The sequence below is a fragment of the Homo sapiens genome, chromosome 2 (assembly GCF_000001405.40).
Source record: "Homo sapiens chromosome 2, GRCh38.p14 Primary Assembly".
Taxonomy (NCBI): domain Eukaryota; kingdom Metazoa; phylum Chordata; class Mammalia; order Primates; family Hominidae; genus Homo; species Homo sapiens.
In genome coordinates, this window is record NC_000002.12 from 211760017 (window position 1) to 211779870 (window position 19854).

The window sequence follows — 19854 nt, forward strand, 5'->3', positions numbered from 1 at the left end:
TATTTTCACTGGTACATGTAGGAGATAAATACATATTTTTTAATGAAAATACACATTAAGAAAATACCACTAATTTCACATCATATTTTTCAGCAGATTTGTAGCTCATTAAAAGATTACTTAAACAATAGAAAGAATGTGACCATGTGTTTCATTGTGTCCTTGTGTAAAACACTGATGGGATCTGAAATAGATGAGGGGATTTGTAGATGACTGGCACATGTATCAGAACATTTGATAAAAGTATGATGTGCTAATTGGCCTGGATTGACGTCCTAGCTCCAGGAGTGTGCCAAAAGCTTCTGTACACATCTATCATATTTGACCTTTTAGTCACTGAGTTGCATAAAATGTTTGAAATACACTTATCATACTTGCAAATGACACAAATCTGGAAGGGGTAGTGAATACTCTTATGGAGAATAATCATTCAGATTTAGGAAGAACTTGGTGGAAGGAACAATAAGCTGAAATTAAAGCTATGATATTTAATAGGATCAATGTAAATTCTTGCATTTGTGGTTCTGAATCAACATTTCATGTAAGTATCAACAGATATGTACTCTTACATAAAGGCTCTCTGGCATGAGACACATTAGAATTTCAAATCTCACCTGTTACTGGTTGTGTCATTCCTCAGGCAGGTTAGTTAACTTATTTCACTTTGTTTTTATACTTTGGACTTAAATGTTTATCCTAAAAATGGAGGTGTACACTATACTGCATACTCCAATCTATACAGCATGATCAACATCATCAACCTCACCACATCATCTAATGCTTACTGAGCACTCTTTACTCTCTGCACAGCGCAGTAGGTATTTTATATACATTATCTTATTTAATTTTCACAACAACATGATAGCATAAGTACTACCATTTGTTTTATTTTATAGGTGAGAAAATGGGTCGGGCGTGGTGTCTCACGCCTATAAGCCCAGCACTTTGGGAGGCCGAGGAAGGCGGATCACGAGGTCAGGAGATCCTGGTCAACATAGTGAAACCCCGTCTCTACTAAAAATACAAAAATTAACTGGGCGTGGTGGCGCGTGCCTGTAATCCTAGCTACTCAGGAGGCTGAGGCAGGAGAATCACTTGAACCAGGGAATCAGAGGTTGCAGTGAGCTGAGATTGCGCCACTGTACTCCAGCCTGGCGACAGGGTGAGATTCCTCAAAAAAAAAAAAAAAAAAAAAGGAAAAAAGAAAATAAAAAGCATCCTTATTTTTATTTTTTAAAGGTAGAAATTTTAATTAATCTTCACACTTCCTAACATACTATGACTGAGAACTCTAGAAGTGTTTTTGATGGTGATGTTTTAGAGCTAAAGTACATTATATAACATCCACAGCAAAGAAGGATACGTAATATATGCTGTTATCTGTCCTTCTAGTTTCATATTTGGTTGTTTAATCAGCGACATCCATCTTAATCAGAAATTATTTTTTCTTTTTTTTTGGAAAAAGCGTCCTTTAAGTAGAGCCAGAGAATTGTCCCTCTGTGGCACATCAGCCCTTTTTATACGTAGCATGTTTCTAGTCAAACATTTTTGTTCTTGCCCATTATTTCATTTCTAATTGGCAATTACTTTGATTCTATTATTTGTTTATTAAAGTTCAGCAGTAAATGGGTCTAAAATAAATGTCAATTAAATACAAACACATTTTAGTAATTGGCATTTATTTCTAAAGGAGAATGTGATAGGAAATTAGAGCTCACAGTTTAGGAAAGCTAAAATATTCAAAATACAACTGAGTATGTAACCAATTTACAGTATTGTCACTTACTTCTCTAAGTGTTCATTTATATGCTCACAAAATGCAAAAAATACAAGCTTTTACTAAGTGCTGGTAAAGTGTGGAAAACCCCAGCTATTAAATCATTTTTGTCTCCTTTCAGGCTCCATTATTTACAATTGGTGGAACTGTGGGTAAAGAACTTTACCTAAGAGTTGACTTTCTTCATTAAGAAAATACAGGTAATGATACCTACTTCACATATTTGATGAAGGAATGACTAAGTTGAATATCACATGCAAAGTACCTGGCTTGTAATAAGCAGTAATCAATGTTAGTTCCCTTTTTCTTCCATCGCAACACATTACATAACAATTTTACTGAACAGCAAAGACAGACAAAGAGGGAGAGGGTCAGTAGAGGTGATATGGCAGATACATAAATGGAGACAGAAATGTTTATGCAAACAGGGTTGAAATGATCAGTAAGGTACCACAGGTCAAGCAATTGGAAGCGGGGAGGGTGTGACCCCTTAGAGGCTTTCGCAGGCATAGCAGACAAAGACAAGCGGGTTTCAAAGATTTCTGCATCCTTTGACAAAGGCGTGAAAAGCCACAGTTTCAGCAAGAATGTTACGAATAACCCAACTCCAGTGAAACTCACTCTGCCACTGGAACTTCGGGCTCTTGTAGAGTTCAGGCTGGTGCACGTGGAGAGAGAAAAAGAAGGCAGGAAATATTTCCAGGTATGTTTCAGAAAGGGAAACAGAAACCCATGGATGGAGCAATGGTGGATTAGTGAAGAAGATTAGATGTCACTGATGTGGGGGTCTCAGCCCACTCCATGACCTTCATCTGTCAGATTGCTAGTGAGACATGCTAATGGGTCCCTGAGGAACTGTAACCACCCACGTGTTCACTTTGTGAGTGGTGTCACATTTGAGAAACGTGGTTCAACAGCTAAAATTCAAGCAAAAGAAATTTACTGCTCTCAAAGGACATGAAATGGGATCCAAAGCATTGCCCATGGCAACAGTTCTAAACTGTTTTCTCACATGACTCTCACTCTCATTCAGCAAAACCCCAATCCTAGTTTTCTCTCTCTTCCTGCTGTCCGTCATCACAAACCTTTTGTCCTTCTACTCCCACCATCATTGTATCACTATTATGTGATTGATGGACTAAACCATTCTCCTCAAGTATTTTTCATTCCATTTAGCTCTCTTATCAAATAATTATTTGCCTGTTTTTTGTTATGTATCTTAAGTGTGCATTACAACATCTAGGGATTGTGTGTGTGTGTGGTGTGTGTGTGTGTGTCTGGAGACATGAGAACGGTTTGGTCTGGTGCACTGAAAGTATTAAGCAGACACAAAATATCTGAGAAGGTACAAAAGATAGACTATGAATATTCCCATATTTGTACATTTTATCCTGTCAGAATAGTCAGTGTTTAAGGAGAAATGTTTGGGTTCTATTTCAACATGAACATAAAGAAATTCTGATAATCTGTGTGTAGTATGGTCTCCATGGATAGCCTGTGTTTTCATCTGGCTTCCACTTGATAGTTCCAAGAATAGAAATATCTCCTATATAAATTCATAAGAAATGAGTGTTGTCATGGGAAAACTGAGATGGATAAAATTATTATGAGTTCCTTAAGGGAAGGAACCATTTCTTTTCCATAGTTCCTAACAGTGTTCAAAACACAATGGGCTTCTCAGATTCAATAAACCAACATTTCCTTTACTAAGAGGCCAGTATCTTCACATCATAGTGCTAACACAGCTTCTTCAACCCTGAGTACATTTTGAAAGGTCTTATAATATCTGTGGTTTGGGACTTTATAATTATGGCTGGGGCCATTAATCTTACAGCCTTCCTTTTTTATTATATATAAGATTGAGACTGAGTTTTTGTTACAGATTGCTAGCCTGTAGCAGTCAGTTGTGGAGATTAGACATCACCGAGACAGATAACAAAGAAAAATGGATAACAAATTGGAAAAGATTAGGTAGCTCCACACCACAATATTAAACAAAGTCTTCTGAGGTCTAACAGCCCAAGACTCATCGTATGTTACTACCACTTTTTCATCTGTCAAAGGGACTTGCTGTTAAAACAAGGCCTTAGCTGTGCGTGTGTATACACACACACACACACAAATATATGTATATGTCCAAGTCCTTTCACTTAAAAAGAACTCAAATTAACAAATAGGCACATTTCTAAAATGCCACTGTAAGCCAAAGGAATAAAAATGTGATTTTAAAGTTGATGGAGGTTATAAGAAAATGACCCAAAAGGCATTATAGTAAGTAATAAGCCTAAAATGTCTTGCTGTAGAATGTTTTCAGTAATTCACCTTCGAAGTTCATACACAAAAAATAAATTCAAGGATAATGGACATATAATATATTTTAAAAATCTGATTCCATCAAAAAGCTATTTCAGTGGAGTTCCTTCTTAATATACTACTAGACAGATCTGGAAATTGAGTTATTATTTATAGAAAAAAGATAAATGATTTGCAAACCACTGCATAGACATCTCTTGCATTCCATTGCAAATTATTTTTAAGTCTAAATAAATATCAGTTCTATTACCTATCTTTCAGCTCCAGTTTTCTGTTTTCTAAAAAATGTTTTTGGTCTTGTAACTTCTGAAATACAAATCCTTTAATCACAATGAAAGCCCTCGTTAGCTAGCATGCTAAAGAGGTAGTTATAGCTTAAATATATTACAATTTTATTATGTACAAGGCATGGTTCTAGGCAATTTATTTCTATGATAAACTTAGGAGGAAAGTACTACTACAGATTAGGAAGCTGAGGCCAGAGAAATTTAATAACTTGCCCAAGATCACACAGTTTGCAATAAGCCTGGGTCTGGAGCCTAAAAATACTATCTCCGGAGCCCATACTCTTAACCAATACAACCAAGTATCTAATTTATGTTAACAGATACAAAAATAGAATAGCCATTTGGGACAAAGGAGGGAAGAGCACCCAAAATATATTAGAACACACATAGGAAGACAAATTTTGTGTCACAACAAGGTCTGATTTCTAATGGGATTAATACAAATGCTCAGAAAGTTCAACGGATTTTAGGAGGACAGGAATCCATTAGGCAAAGATGTTGAATGAGATCATTATAAAGACACTCATTCAAAATCACTTAGGGAATGACTTGCATGGAGTTAAAAAGATGATTTGGGTCATTTACCAAAATCTTTGATGTGTGTGATAAATGAGCGGTTTAGTCAATAACAGTCAGGGTGGAGGGTGGTGTAGGTGGACGTCAAGAGCATGGAAAAAGGTGCCCCTCCCCATCTCACTCCCTCGCCTCACAATATTTTAATCTATTATTCCAATTCAGTTTTATATGAGAAAAATGAGGGATAGAGGGGCTAAGCAAGTGTAGTTAGAAACTCTTGGAGACAAGATTCAAACTCATGTAGAAACACCCACCTTGAGCTCAGACACTAGGCTACCTTTCAAAGCAAAGAACCAGAGGCATCATCATGCTTTTTGGAAGGAAGATTCAGGGGGCTTTGTCCTGAAATATGGTCAGATAAAAGACTTTGGTAGGAGGGATAGGAAGAGAGGAGAAAAAGAAAAGTGATGTCTAATTTTTCTCTACCTCCTTACATATTTTAAAAAGTATTCAACGTATATTATACTCTTACTCTTAATGTAATTTACTATTGATAAGACCATGTTTTGTTTCTTATCCCTCAGGAAAAAAAAATCTCTGAGCCCATTGTATATACTAACAGAAATGACTTACTATTTCATGAGAATGTTGCAAAACTGCATGATGGTAATCAATCTTTCTCTTCTGAACCAAAGCAGGCAGATTCCTGTCCAGTATACAACTATAAGGACCCTTAGACATTTGTTTATTCCACTAAGAATGTATAGCAAGTCTTTTCAATAAAAATAGTTGGTATTTAAAATTATGCATTTCAATGAAATTTAGAAATGTAGAAGTGATGGTTGTCCATCATTGTATTGCTTTAAAAAACTTTTAAATTTATCATTGTATTTTTTGTAGTAAAGCCAATTTCTTTATTCTGGGAAACCTTCACTGGCATATGTTTTAAACGACTAGTTTAATGCTGTATTCTAATTCTTGAGTACAGAGTTTGAATTGATGCCACAGAAAATATTTTTGAAAAAATTATCTAGATCAACATTTTTGTTTAATGAAGCACAGAAAGGTAGGAGAATAAAAGTGGCTGATCAAGATAACTACCTGTTTGATGACTTTTCCTTTGTGCATTTTTATTCAAGCTTTTTTCTTTCTTTTATGTATTTCTCTTACTTATATTTTGCCAAGAACTTTAAGAGAAATGTCACTGCATAATTTTCTCTCCATTTTTCTCCTGTGTAGAAAGAGCACCTACAATTGGCAAAAGAATCACCTCTAAATTGAACATAATGTGTTCTTGCTGAGCAGGAAAGAATTAAATAAAAGTTGCATACAGCTGCTTGCAACAATCTAGGCTTGAAAGATTGCCAAATGGGTTAGCAGTTTGATCTGCTTGTTCATCTTTCTCAGCTCCCTGTAGATACCACATCCCTTGCCCCAATCCTCTAGTGTAACCAGTGGTCTCTCCCCTTCCTCCTCTCTAAACTTTGAAATAAAAGTCCTGAATGAGGGAACACCAATAGGAGAGGAAAGACACATGTGAAACATCTTGGTAAATGTTATGAAAAGGGAAAGCTGAATGTCTGCACATGTTTTCAGTTATTCATAAACATCTTCCTTTTGCTTTCTAGTTTTCAAGTGATGAGAAATTAGAGAAAAAAAGGGAAAATAGTTCCTTAAGTTCTATTTAATTGTGAAACTGAATTCTATGAAACACTTTCATTAGTAAACAAGGATGAACTTGTGAGTTGTGATGAAATCTGTGAATGATGGTTGTGAGGCAGGAGAACAGGGTCTGAAGGCAGGGAACCTAACGCCGATCTGTGCTGATTTCCTAGAATGGAATCAAAAGGAAAACCCCACCTCTCCACTCTCGAGTAACAAAAGGATCAAAGGCTACTCCTTTTGCAACACCCCACTCCCCCATTTCTGCATTGTGGAGGAGAAAGTAAAGTACTTCTGATTGGTCTGCTCCTGAAACCGGTCAGACTGGTCATGTCGGCCTTGTCTTCATTTGCATAGGGGTGTGACTTGGTAACTTCACTTCAGTCTGTTTGGTCACCTTCCAACACCAGTCTGACTGGTTGGGGGCCACCACTTCATTAATAGGGTGTAAAGCAAGTAACCAATGGGAAACCTCTCCAGGGTATTTAAACATCAGAAAATTCTGTAACCAGCACTCTGGAGTCGCTTGCTCAAGGCTACTCCCACTCTGTGTAGAGTACTTTTGTTTTAATAAATCTGTGCTTTTATTTTATTGCTTTGTTCGTGCATTTTTCCCAATTCTTTGTTCAAAACACCAAGAACCTGGTCACCCTCCACTGGTAACAGAACACTTACATAATTACTCTCACCCATTACAGAGTAAACAAAAATAGAAGAGAGTAATACTGAATAGAGTCAGTGTAATTGTCATTCAATTTTACACAGTTACTTTAAACACCAAATATACAATCAGGGTTTTATGTTAAAAAATCAATTATGGAATGCTTCGTAAATCTCTCTTTTACATTAATTAGGTGCTTATTATTTGACTCAATATATAATTTTATTTAGTAAAAATGATGTATTAGTCCGTTCTCATGCTGCTAATAAAGACCTACCCCAAACTGGGTAATTTATAAAGAAAAGAGATTTAATTGACTGACAGTTCCATGTGGCCGGGGAAGCCTCAGGAAACTTACAGTCATGGCGGAAGGGGAAGCAAACACATCCATCTTCACATGGTGGTAGGAAGGATAAGAATGAGCAGAAGGAGAAAAGCCCCTTATAAAACCATCAGATCTTGTAAGAACTCACTCACTATCACCACAGCAGCATGAGGGTAACAGCCCTAAATTACTAAATTACCTCCCACTGGGTCCCTCCTATAACACACGGGGATTATGGGAACTACAATTCAAGACGAGATTTGGGTGAGGACACAGCCAAACCATATCATTCTGCCCCTGGCCTCTCTTAAGTCTCATGACCTCACATTTCAAAATGTAATCATGCCCTCCCAACAGACCCCCAAAAGTCTTAGCTCATTACAGCATTAACCTAAAAGTCCATGTCCAAAGTCTCATCTGAGACAAGTACCTTCCACCTATGAGTCTGTAAAATTGAAAGCAAGTTAGTTACTTCCTAGATACAGTGGGGTTCAGACATTGGGTAAATACACTCATTCCAAATGGGAGAAATTGGCCAAAATGAAGGGGCTCCAGGTGCCATTCAAGTCCAAAATCCAGCGGGGCAGTCAACCATTAAAACTCTGTAATGATCTCCTTTGGCTCCATGTCTCACATCCAGGTCACGTTGATGCAAGAGGTGGGCTCTGAAGGCCTTGGGCAGCTCTGCCCCTGTGGCTCTGCAGGGTACAGCCTTCCTCCTGGCTGCTTTCAAGGCCTGGCACTGAGTATCTGCAGCTTTTCCAGGCACACAGTGAAGCTGTCGATGGATCTACCATTCTGGGGTCCAAAGGATGGTGGCCCTCTTCTCACAGCTCCTCTAGGCAGTGCCTCAGTAGGGACTCTGTGTGGGGGCTACAACCCCACTTTGCCCTTCCGTACTGCCCTAGCAGAGGTTCTCCATGAGAGCTCTTCCACTGCAACAAACTTCTTCCTGGACATGCAGACATTTCCATACATCCTTAGAAATCTAGGCAGAGGTTCTCAAACCTCAATTCTTGACTTCTGTGCACCTGCAGGCTCAACACCACGTGGAAGCTGCCAAGGCTTGGGGATTGCACCCTCTGAAGCCATGTCCTGAACTGTATGTTGGCTCCTTTTAGCAATGGCCGGAATGCAGGGCAGCAAGTCCTGAGATTGCACAAAGCAGCAAGGCCCTGGGACCAGCCCATGAAACCATTTTTTCCTCCTAGGCCTTTTGGCTTGTGATGCGAGGGTTGCCATGAAGACCTCTGACATGCCCTGGAGACATTTTCCCCATTGTCTTGGTGATTAACATTTGGCTCCTTACTTATGCCAATTTTTGCAGCCAGCTTGAATTTCTCATCAGAAAATAAGTTTTTCTTTTCTATTGCATTATCAGCCTGCAAATTTGCTGAACTTTAATTCTCTGCTTCCTTTTTAAACATAAGTTCAAATTCCAAACAATATCTTTGTGAATGCATAAAACTGAATGCCTTTAGCAGCACCCTAGTCATATCTTGAATGCTTTGCTGTTTAGAAATTTCTTCTGCCAGATACCCTAAATCATATGTCTCAAGTTCAAAGTTCCCCAGGTCTCTAGGGCAGGGGCAAAATGCTGCCAGTCTCTTTGCTAAAGCATAGCAAGAATCACCTTTATTTCAGTTCCAAATAAATTCCTCATATCCATTTGAGACCACCTCAGCCTGCACTTCATTCTCCATATCACTATCAGCATTTTGGTCAAAACCACTCAACAAGTCTCTGGGAAGTTGCAAACTTTCCCACATCTTCCTATCTTCTTCTGAGCTCTCCATATTCAAACAGGGAAACAATCTCTGCCTGTTGTCCATTTCCAAAGTTGCTTCCACATTTCCAGGTATTTTTTAGCAACACCTCACTCCTGCTATCAAAATCTGTTATTAGTCAGCGTTCTCTAGAGGAACAGAACTAAAAGGATATATAGGAAAGAGAGTTTATGAAGGAAAATTGACTCACAGGATCACAAGGTAAGGTCTCAGGATAGGACATCTGCAAATTGAGAATCAAGGATCCCAGTGTAAATCAGCCTGAGTCCCAAAACCTCAAAAGTAGGGAAGCCAACTGTCCAGCCTTCAGTCTGTGGCCAAAGTGGCCAAAGGCCCAAGAGCCTCTGGCAAACCACTGGTGTTAAGTCCAAGAGTCCAAAAGCTGAAGAACTTGGAGTCTGATGTCTGAGGGCAGGAAGCATTCAGTGTGGGTGAAAGATGAAGGCCGGAAGACTCAGCAAGTCTGCTCTTCCATCTGCTCCTGTCTGTTTTATTCTAGCAGCACCAGCAGCTGATTAGATGGTGCCCACCCATATTGAGGGTGAGTCTGCCTCTCCCAGTCCACTTACTCAAATGTTAATTTCTTTTAGCAACACCCTCATAGACACAACCAGGAAAAATACTTCGTATCCTTCAATCCAATCAAGTTGACACTCAATATTAACCATCACAGATGAGTGTTTTACTTGGAGAAAATTTAACTCAGTTTTACCAACCTAGCATTTTAACCTCTACGCCTAATTCTTCCAGGCTTAGAAATTTTTGCAAATTCTCATATAGCAGGATGACTTAAACTTTACGTGAAGTACATTTTTTAAAATGTGGAAGATCACCAGATGTCTCTTACTGTGAATCACTTCACATTAATGTTCCTTGCTTTGTATTTTGTGGTTCTAAAACATTTTAAAATTCAAAAGTATTCAAAGCAAAGTTAATTCCACCTTATTTTCCTTATTAAAGGAAATATGCAATACAGAATTTGTTTAGAAAAAGGTAACAAAAAAAGCATTCTTAAATTCCAAAAATCTCTAATTCTTTTTTAAAAACTCACCATTTTAAAAAATGTTAGGAGTTACTACTTCGAAGAAAAGTTAATTATTCAAATTGCTTTGTCTTTCTCCATCTATTATGTTTGAACGGTGTGAAAACCTTTCTCATATCAGTGACATTCAGTTATAGCATGATATATTTTTTCAATAAAATTCACATATTTTAGTGAAAATGCTTGTTAAAATGTACTTAAAAATAAGTTTCAGAGAAACAATGAAACCTGAAGGCTGCCCTCAGATAGACAATTTGAATTCCAGAGACCTACTATTTCAAGATATTTTGATCACTTCAGCTCTTCATTGGAAGCCAACAAGTCTGCTCCATACTAGAAATTGCAAGCTGCTTGAGGCTCTCAGAGGCCCCCAAATCAGGCTCTTAATACCTACCTCACATAACATGCAAATTAGAAATAGGGTTCTTTAAGTGCCTGTGATATACCAGGCCCAGGAGGTCACAGGCATTTAAAGCACTGTGATTTTTATTATTGAAATTAATGACATAGAAGTTTCGCAAAACAACAGAGAACTAAATATTCTCTAAGAGGGGACTCGTGTATTTGGTAGTTGGCTCATTTGTAGCATGCCCATATGTTCTATGCCAATTTCAAACTAACACATGGCCTGAAATGTCTGCATCATATTAGGCTTTGCTAATCATTTTACCATCATAGAAATCTTATGCTAGGCCAGTGCTACTTACACCTCTTCCTAGAATCAATAGGAGAATTCTGAAGATAGTCAGATTCTCTTCTTTAAACAAAAGGTACTCAGGCAGAATCTCTGAGTGAATTCAGATACATACCCACGATTGGAAACCTTAATCTAGTTACCTGTGGACATGACGAACCTTGGCCTTTCGTGCTAGTGCTAGACCATGCTACACAACATCTCTGCTGGTCACCTTCATGTAATATTTTTTCTTCCAACAAGCTATGGTCATAAAGAAGATTTAAGGTTCATCAGTGGAAACTGAATCTAAACATAGTTGAAGGTGGAAAATTGCCATTTTAAGAGCTAGAGCAGTAAGCTTGTGGGGTACAGAGGAGTTAATCTTTGAGACAGAAACTCTTGTTTAATCTGACAGGGACCACTTTTCTAAACCTTTTAGTCAAACATAAATAAAATCTACTCATTAGTCTTGTGGAAAACTTGAATGCAAAAGTTAGCATGAGTGCAGGTAAGTATACAGTTTAATAATTTAAATGAAAAATGTTAGCAGAAAATGATGCTGAAGAGTCAAATGCTTTTTCTTTACAAATTTTGAGCTAAGCTGCCCTACCCCTAAAGAGGCTAAAGTGATTGTTCTTTCTTGCGAAGTGTGTGTGTATGTGTGTGTGTGTTTTATTCAGCATTTGCTCACAAGAGACTAGGGGCTACGATCAGTTCATACCATGCATGAGGTGCTGGCCGAATCTCTTGGTGCTCTTATAGAGAAAAATGATAAGCAACGGAACTGGCCTCAGCCTACCATTACCTTTACAGGGCTGTTCATATTCACAGGTGGTAGTACCTGGTGTACAAGGCCAACTACTAAAAATTTCTAGAATTTTGAGAGCTTTTCATTAAATAACCATTACTAAATATTAAACTATATAAACCCACAATTAAATGTTATTAAAACAAAGGTAATATATACTAGAAATTCATTATTTCCTGAATAGTTTACAATGTTTTACTATCTTCTGTGTAATTGAGTTTACTTACATCTACTGAACCTGTATGGTGGAAATACTACATAATGGTGTGATACCTGGACATCTCTTCCAAAATCCACACTGATTGCTCAAATGGGAAGACGTTAGAAATATTTATACCATGAAAATCAGTAAGCTCAACAAATTGGGGCTTTTTTCCCCTATTTTTGGAGAGTAGTTATTAAATATTTATCAGCACGGCACTGACATATGGTATAATTTAAGACTGAAGAAATCATGCTTTTGGAAAATGCACTATTAAAACTTGTCTAAGGGATCCACACCATATTCTGTGTGGAGTGTTTCCTAATATGACAATTGACATTTCCACTAAATCAGAAACAGAAAATGAAATTAGCTTTGAACTGAATGAGAGGCAAAAAGACCTAGGGGAAGATAAAGAGACTAATCCCTAAGGTCTGAACGTGGTCAGAGGGTCTCAGTAGTGGGGGATATCTTCAATGACAACACATGGACAGGGACATGGAAGTTAATTTTGGGCCTCTCTCTCTCCAAATAACCATTCTTATTAATAACAAAATTATGTTGATAACTAATGTTTTTTCTTCTTTTTTTGAGATGAGGTCTCACTCTGTCACCCAGGCTGGAGCACACTGGTACAATCATGGCTCACTTCAGTCTTGACCTCCTGGACTTAAGTGATCCTCCTACCTCTGACTCTTGAGTAACTGAGACTACAGGTATACTTCACCATACTGGGATATATATATATATATATATATATATACACATATATATATATATATATATATATATATATACACATATATATATATACACACACACACACATATATATATACACACACACACACACATATATATATATATATATATATATATATATATTTTTTTTTTTAAAGATGGGGTCCTACTCTGTTGCCCAGGTTGCTCTCAAATTCCAGGCTTAAGGGAATCCTCCCACTTCAGCCTCCCAAATTTCTGGGATTACAGCATGAGCCACCACGCCTTGTCAATAACTGGTTTTATTTGTGCTTTGAAGGGATCAGGCACCTGGGTCTTAAAAGCAGTTGAGGGAGTGCCTAGCCCAGCTGTGACATGACGGGAGTCCTTGGTAGCAGAGGCTGGGAGGTTGGCAGTAAGAGAATAAGACCAGAGAGGTGAAGCTATGGAATTTACTCCAAGTTTTTGGTTAAGTTATATGTAAAAGATAAGTAGAAACTAATTAATAATTATAAACTGTTGAGACTAATATTGTATGTATGTGTGTATGTATAAATTTACATAAATGTTTACTTTTTATGTACTTATTACATACAAATGAATTTTTTATATACTCATATATGTTATGATTTTCAGGAAAAAGTAATAATACTTGCAATGCATGATGAATACGAGGACTAAGATGAGCTAAGGAAGAGAGGGTATGAGATAATCTTCTGTTCTACCACCTGGAGGTCAGGTTAAGTACTTCCAAGGAATAAATACTCTGTCACTTTCAAGAAAGTAAGGATTATACTTCTGTAACTTTATATATATATATATATATATATATATATATATATATATATATATATATAATATATATACACACACACACACTTCATATACATACTATGAAGTATATATACTTTATAGTGAAGAATATATATATACACACACACACTTCATATATATACATATATCATATTTATGTGAAGTATATATATAAAGGAGAAATGTTAACTAGATAGAAAACAACCTGGATTACTCCGGTCTGAATTCAGATCACGTAGGACATTAATCATTGAACAAACGAATCTTCAATAGTGGCAACACAATAGGATGTCCTGATCCAACATTGAGGTTGTAAACCCTATTGTCGATATGGACTCTAGAACAGGATTGTGCTGTTATCCCTAGGGTAACTTATTCCGTTGATCAAATTACTGGGTCAGTGTGTAAAATCTCACTTGGACTAGTACGGTCTTAGATTGTTCAGATGCTCTGTGGTCACCCCAACCAATTTTTTTTTTTTTTCTTGAGATGGAGTCTCCCTCTGTCGCCCAGGCTGGAGTGCAATGGTGTGATCTTGGCTCACTGGAACCTCTGCCTCCTGGGTTCAAACGATTCTTCCACCCCAGCCTCCCGAGTAGCTGGGATTACTAGCACCTGCCATCATGCCCGACTAATTTTCGTATTTTTGTAGAGACGGGGTTTCACCATGTTGGCCAGGCTGGTTTTGAACTCCTAACCTCAGGTGATGCCCCTGCCTCGGCCTCCCAAAGTGCTGGGATTACAGGTGTGAGCCACTGCGCCAGGCCAAGCAGTTTAAAATTTTTAATATGGGGATAGTAAGCTAGGGCCTGTAGGCTTGAGTTTTTATTTGCATTAATGAATTAAAGCTGCATAGGGTCTTCTCACCTTATTTGTTTATATCCGCCTCTTCACGGATAGGTCAATTTCACTGGTTAAAAGTAAAGCACAGCTGAACCCTCGTCTGGCCAGTCATACAAGTCCCTATTTAGGGAACAAGTGATTATGCTACTTTTGAACGGTTAGGATATCGCGGCTGTTGAACATATGTCACTGGGCAGGCAGTGCCTCTAATACTGATAATGCTAGAGGTGGTGTTTTTGGTAAACAGGCAAGGTAAGATTTGCCAATTTCCTTTTACTTTTTGTAATCTTTCCTTAGAGTATGACTGTGTTGGGTTAACAGTGAAAATAACAGGGTGCTTATTATATCGTTTATTAATATTGGGCTGTTAACTGTTAGTGGGTTATTCCGGTCTGATGTAAGCTTATGCAATGGAGAATGTCTTCATGTTACTTATATTAACATGATTGCTTCTGTTAAGTAATAGATTAGTCCAATGTAATGTTAGGAGTTCAGTAGAGTGACTAGAATTTAAGATAGTTCGATGTTGAACTTAAATGCTTTCTTAATTGGTGGCTGCTTTTGGGCCAACTGTGGTGCTAATAATTTTTACTCTCTGTAGGAAGGTTGTTTCCTAAGGTCAAAAGAGTTGTCCCTCTCTAGACTAACAATTAAACTTACAGGGGAATTAAGTAATTCTTTGGGTAAGTTTAAAATTGAACTAAGGTTCTATCTTGGACAATGAGCTATCACCAGGCTCAGTAGGGTTGTCACTGCTAGTCATGAATCTTCCCACTATTTTGCCAGATAGGTGAGTGTGGTCTTTCAGCTGTTCTTGAGTAGCTCGTCTGGTTTTGGGGGACTTGGCTATAGTTCTCTGTGTAAAGTTATTTCTAGTTAATAGATTATGCAGAAGGTATAAGGGCTTGTCTTTGCTTTTTTAGTGCTTGATATAGCTCTTCCATCTTTCCCTTACTGTACTATGTCTATTGCACCAAGGTAAAAATTTCTATTGCCTACACTTTTGTCTAAGTAAATGGTTTGATTAAGATAGTTTGATAACATTTTTAGCAAGGTTTGGGGCTAGAGTTAGCTAAAAGTGATCAGGCCATGATGAAATCTTCTGGCCATAAGCCAGATGCTTTGGGTTAAGCTACACTTTGGTTTGTCCAAGCACACTTTCCAATATGCTTACCATGTTATAACTTATCTCCTCTATAGATGTGTAGACAATTATTAGTAATAGTGATATCTAGAGTAATACTTGAGGAGGGTGATAGGCTGTGTGTACGTGCTTCATGGCCTTATTCAACCAAGCACTCTGCTCTTGGTTTACTGCTAAATCCTCCTTGAGCCCTCAGATTTCACAAAGGTTTTCATGAGATTTCCTGGACATAGAAAATGTAGCCCATTTCTTGCCACCTCACGGGTTACACCTTGACCTAACGTTTTTTATGTGTATACTTATGCTTAATCTATAACTTTTTTAGGGTTTGCTGAAGATGGTGATATACAGACCGGGGGCAAGAGATGGTGAGTTGTATCGGGGTTTGTCTATTATAGAACAGGCTCCTCTAGAGGGATGTAAAGCACCGCCAAGTCCTTTGAGTTTTAAGCTGTTGCTTGTAGTAGTCTGGCGAATGGTTTTGTTAATGTAACTATTCGACTTTAGGGCTAAGTGTAGTGGGGTATCTAATCCCAGTTTGGGTCTTAGCTATTGTGTCTTCAGGGTATTAAAGCCACTTTGTAGTACATTTGATTTCAGCTGGAGTTTTTTACAACTTAGATGGAGTTTTTTACAACTTAGCTTTATTGAGGATAGACCTTAAACATTCTTTATGCCGAGTTCTATTAGCTTGTGTTAATCATATGGCTGTGGTGGCTGGCATGAAGTTAACCAACCCTAAATATTAGTAAAGCTCAGTCAAGCTTTTGTTTATTACTAAAGATTTATCACTGCTGTTTCCCATAGGGGTGTGGTTGAGCAAACTCTTTTGAGCTGCATTCGTGTGTGCTTGATACTTGCTCCTTTTAATCTGGGTGATCTAGAGGGCATTTTCACTGGGGTGGGGATACTTGCATGTGTAATCTTACTAAGAGCTAATAAAAAAGACCAGGACAAAACCTATCTGTTTATGAGGTTGTGTGAACCCATCTAGACATTTTCACTGTCTTGCTTTGAATACTTAAGCTATACTAACTGCATGGAATACGTAAGTGAAAATTAAAATATGAGAAAGAAAGAAGTAAATACAAATGGTTGTTTACAGTTCTGGAAATTCAGGTTCTTTAAAGTTGAATTGGCAGAGGTTTGGCTGAGAGGATGACTCATAATTTGAATATGGTTGATTTAGGGGTATGTTATATTGGGGCAGTGCTTTCAGAGGGATATGCTCAAGGTATTATATTAGTATTAGGGCAGAGGTTTAGTTACTCTATTTATTATACAGAATGGAGGGTTTATTTGGTAGGAGGGCCTTAAGATTTTTTAGAAAATTACATCAATTGAGGTGTAGCTGTTGGAGCGTTCGTGGTTAAAATATGATTTCTGGGCTCTGACTGGGTTGCATTTTAGTATCTTGTTTTTGGGGTTTGGCAAGGGTACATTTACCTAGGTTGATGGTAAAGGCAGAGATGGAGGGAGGGGAGTTTGCAGATGTAATCGGAAATAGTTCTTCAAATTGAGCATAGGTGCGTGGGGGTACATGCATGAGCGTATATGCGTGAGCATATGTGCGTGAGCATCTACTGATTAATTGTTATGTCCTTCAAGCATGATATACTTCTCCTCACATGACAAAAACTAGCCCCTATCTCAATTATGTTTCAAATCTTCCCATCAACAAACCTGAACATCCTCCTATCACAATTCTATCCATTATAGTGGGTGGTTGAGGGGGACTTAACCAAACACAACTGCGTAAAATCCTAGCCTACTCCTCAATCACTCACATAGGTTGAATAATAGCAGTACTAATTTATGACCCAAACATTACCACTCTAAATCTGATTATTTACCTTATCTTAACAACAACTGCATTTCTATCACTCAACCTGAGTATAAGCATCACAACCCTGTCACTATCTCATGCCTGAAAGAAATTAGCATGGTTGACACCTATAATTCCACTAATTCTACTATCCCTACGAGGTTTACCCCCATTACAGGGTTCCTGCCTAAATGAATCATCATCCAAGGATTTACAAAAAATTATAGCCTTGTCACCCCAACCATTATAGCTATCATAACCCTACTCAACCTGTACTCTTACATACACCTCATTTATTCCATCTTGGTAACACTATTCCCCACATCTAATAATATGAAACTAAAATGACAATTCGAAATCGCAAAACCCACACTACTCCCTCCTCACTTGTCATCTCTTCTACCGTCCTCTTACCCACCTCTCCATTAATACTAACTATAACTTAGAAATTTAGTTTAAATAAGACCAAGGGCCTTCAAAGCCCTTAGTAAGTAAATGACACTTAATTTCTGTAACAGACCTAAGGGCTGCAAGACTCTATTCTGCATCAGTTGAACGCAAATAAACCACTTTAATTAAGCTAAGCCCTTACTAGACTGGTGGAATTCAAAACCACGAAAATTTAGTTAACAGTTAAACCCCCTAATCAACTGGCTTCAATCTACTTCTCCCACCATTGGGGGAAAAAGGCAGGAGAAGCCACGGCAGGATTGAAGCTGCTCCTTTGAATTTGCAATTCAACATGAGAAATCACTTCAGGGCTGGTGAACAGTGGCCTTGACCTCTGTCTTCAGATTTACAGTCTAATGCTTGCTCAGCCATTTTATACCCCCGCCGCCGCCCCCCTGTGTTCACCAATTGTTGATTGTTTTCAACTAACCACAAAGATATCGGAACACTGTACCTGTTATTCGGCACAAGGGCGGGGATAGTAGGCACTACCTTAAGCCTCCTAATTTGAGCAGAACTAGGCCAACCAGGAACTCTGCTAGGAGATTATCAGATCTACAATGTTATTGTTACCGCCCACACATTCGTTATAATCTTCTTTATGGTGATACTAATCCTAATTGGGAGTTTCAGCAACTGGCTAGTCCCTCTGATAATTGGTACACCCGATATGGCATTCCCCCGGATAAATAACATGAGTGTCTGACTTCTCCCCCCATCTTTTCTACTCGTACTTGCGTCTTCAATAGTGGAAGCCGGCGCTGGAACCGGCTGGACAGTTTATCCCCCTTTAGCAGGAAACCTAGCACATGCAGGAGCCTCTGTGAACCTGACCATCTTCTCGCTCCACTTGGCAGGTGTCTCTTCTATTTTAGGGGCCATTAACTTTATTACCACTATTATTAACATAAACCCTCCAGCTATATCCCAATATCAAACACCCCTTTTCATTTGATCAGTCCTCATTACGGCAGTCCTTCTTACTCCTTTCCCTTCTAGTCCTAGCCTCTGGCATTACTACACTATTAACTGACAATAACCTCAACACTACTTTGTTTGACCCTGCTGGTGGGGGTGACCTTATCTTGTACCAACATGTATTCTGCTGGTACAAAGCTTCGGGATAATCTCCCACATGGTAACATATTATTCTGGAAAAAAGGAATCGTTTGGATACATGGGCATAGAGCCATGATATCAATTGACTTCTTAGGATTTATCATATGGGCTCACCATATATTTACAGTAGGGGTAGATGCAGACACACGAGCATACAGCACCTCTACTACCATAATTATTGCTATCCCTACTGGCATCAAGGTCTTTAGCTGATTAGCTACCCTGCATGGCGGTAACATCAAATGATTTCCCGCAACATTCTGTGCCCTACGATTAATTTTCCTTTTCACAGTAGAGGTTTAACCGGCATCTTATTAGCTAATTCATCACTAGATATTACCTTACATGACACATATTATGTTGTAGCCCATTTCCACTATGTCCTATCAATAGGAGCAGTACTCGCCATTATAGGAGGCTTTGTCCACTGATTCTCCTTATTTTCAGGCTATACACTTAGTCAGACCTATGCTAAAATCCACTTCACCATTATATTCATAGGTGTTAATTTAACCTTTTTCTACAGCACTTCCTTGGTCTATCCGGTATGCCTTGACGTTACTCTGATTATCCTGATGCATACACCACGTGAAATATTATCTTATCCATATGGTCATTTATCTCACTAACAGCAGTTATACTAATAATCTTTATGATCTGAGAAGCCTTTGCTTCAAAACGAAAAGTACTAACAATTGAACAACCATCTGCTAATTTAGAGCGGCTTTATGGCTGTCCACCACCTTACCGCACATTCGAAGAGCCAGCCTAAAGGAAAACCTAAATGAGAAAAGAAGGAATCAAACTCCCAGAAACTGGTTTCAAGCCCATCCCATAACCTCTATGACTCTCTCGATAAGATATCAGTAAAATTGTTACACAACT

General features: G+C 38.2%; 1 protein-coding gene and 2 pseudogenes across 10 annotated transcripts in view, besides 1 other annotated feature; 2 read left to right on the forward strand and 1 right to left on the reverse strand.

Annotated features, from left to right (window-relative positions):
* The window catches only part of ERBB4 (erb-b2 receptor tyrosine kinase 4), a 1163086-nt gene that overhangs the window by 384300 nt on the left and 758932 nt on the right, over window positions 1-19854 (reverse strand). The window lies entirely within an intron of this gene.
* Window positions 6517-7053: an enhancer, noted in NCBI's record as "OCT4-NANOG hESC enhancer chr2:212631258-212631794 (GRCh37/hg19 assembly coordinates)". NCBI's record gives its function as "activates a minimal SCP1, AML or CMV promoter by ChIP-STARR-seq in primed H9 embryonic stem cells {active_cell/tissue: H9 hESC(primed)}" and the evidence as "EXISTENCE:reporter gene assay evidence [ECO:0000049][PMID:30033119]".
* MTND2P23 (MT-ND2 pseudogene 23) lies at window positions 17190-17840 on the forward strand (annotated as a pseudogene).
* Window positions 18257-19747, forward strand: MTCO1P46 (MT-CO1 pseudogene 46; annotated as a pseudogene).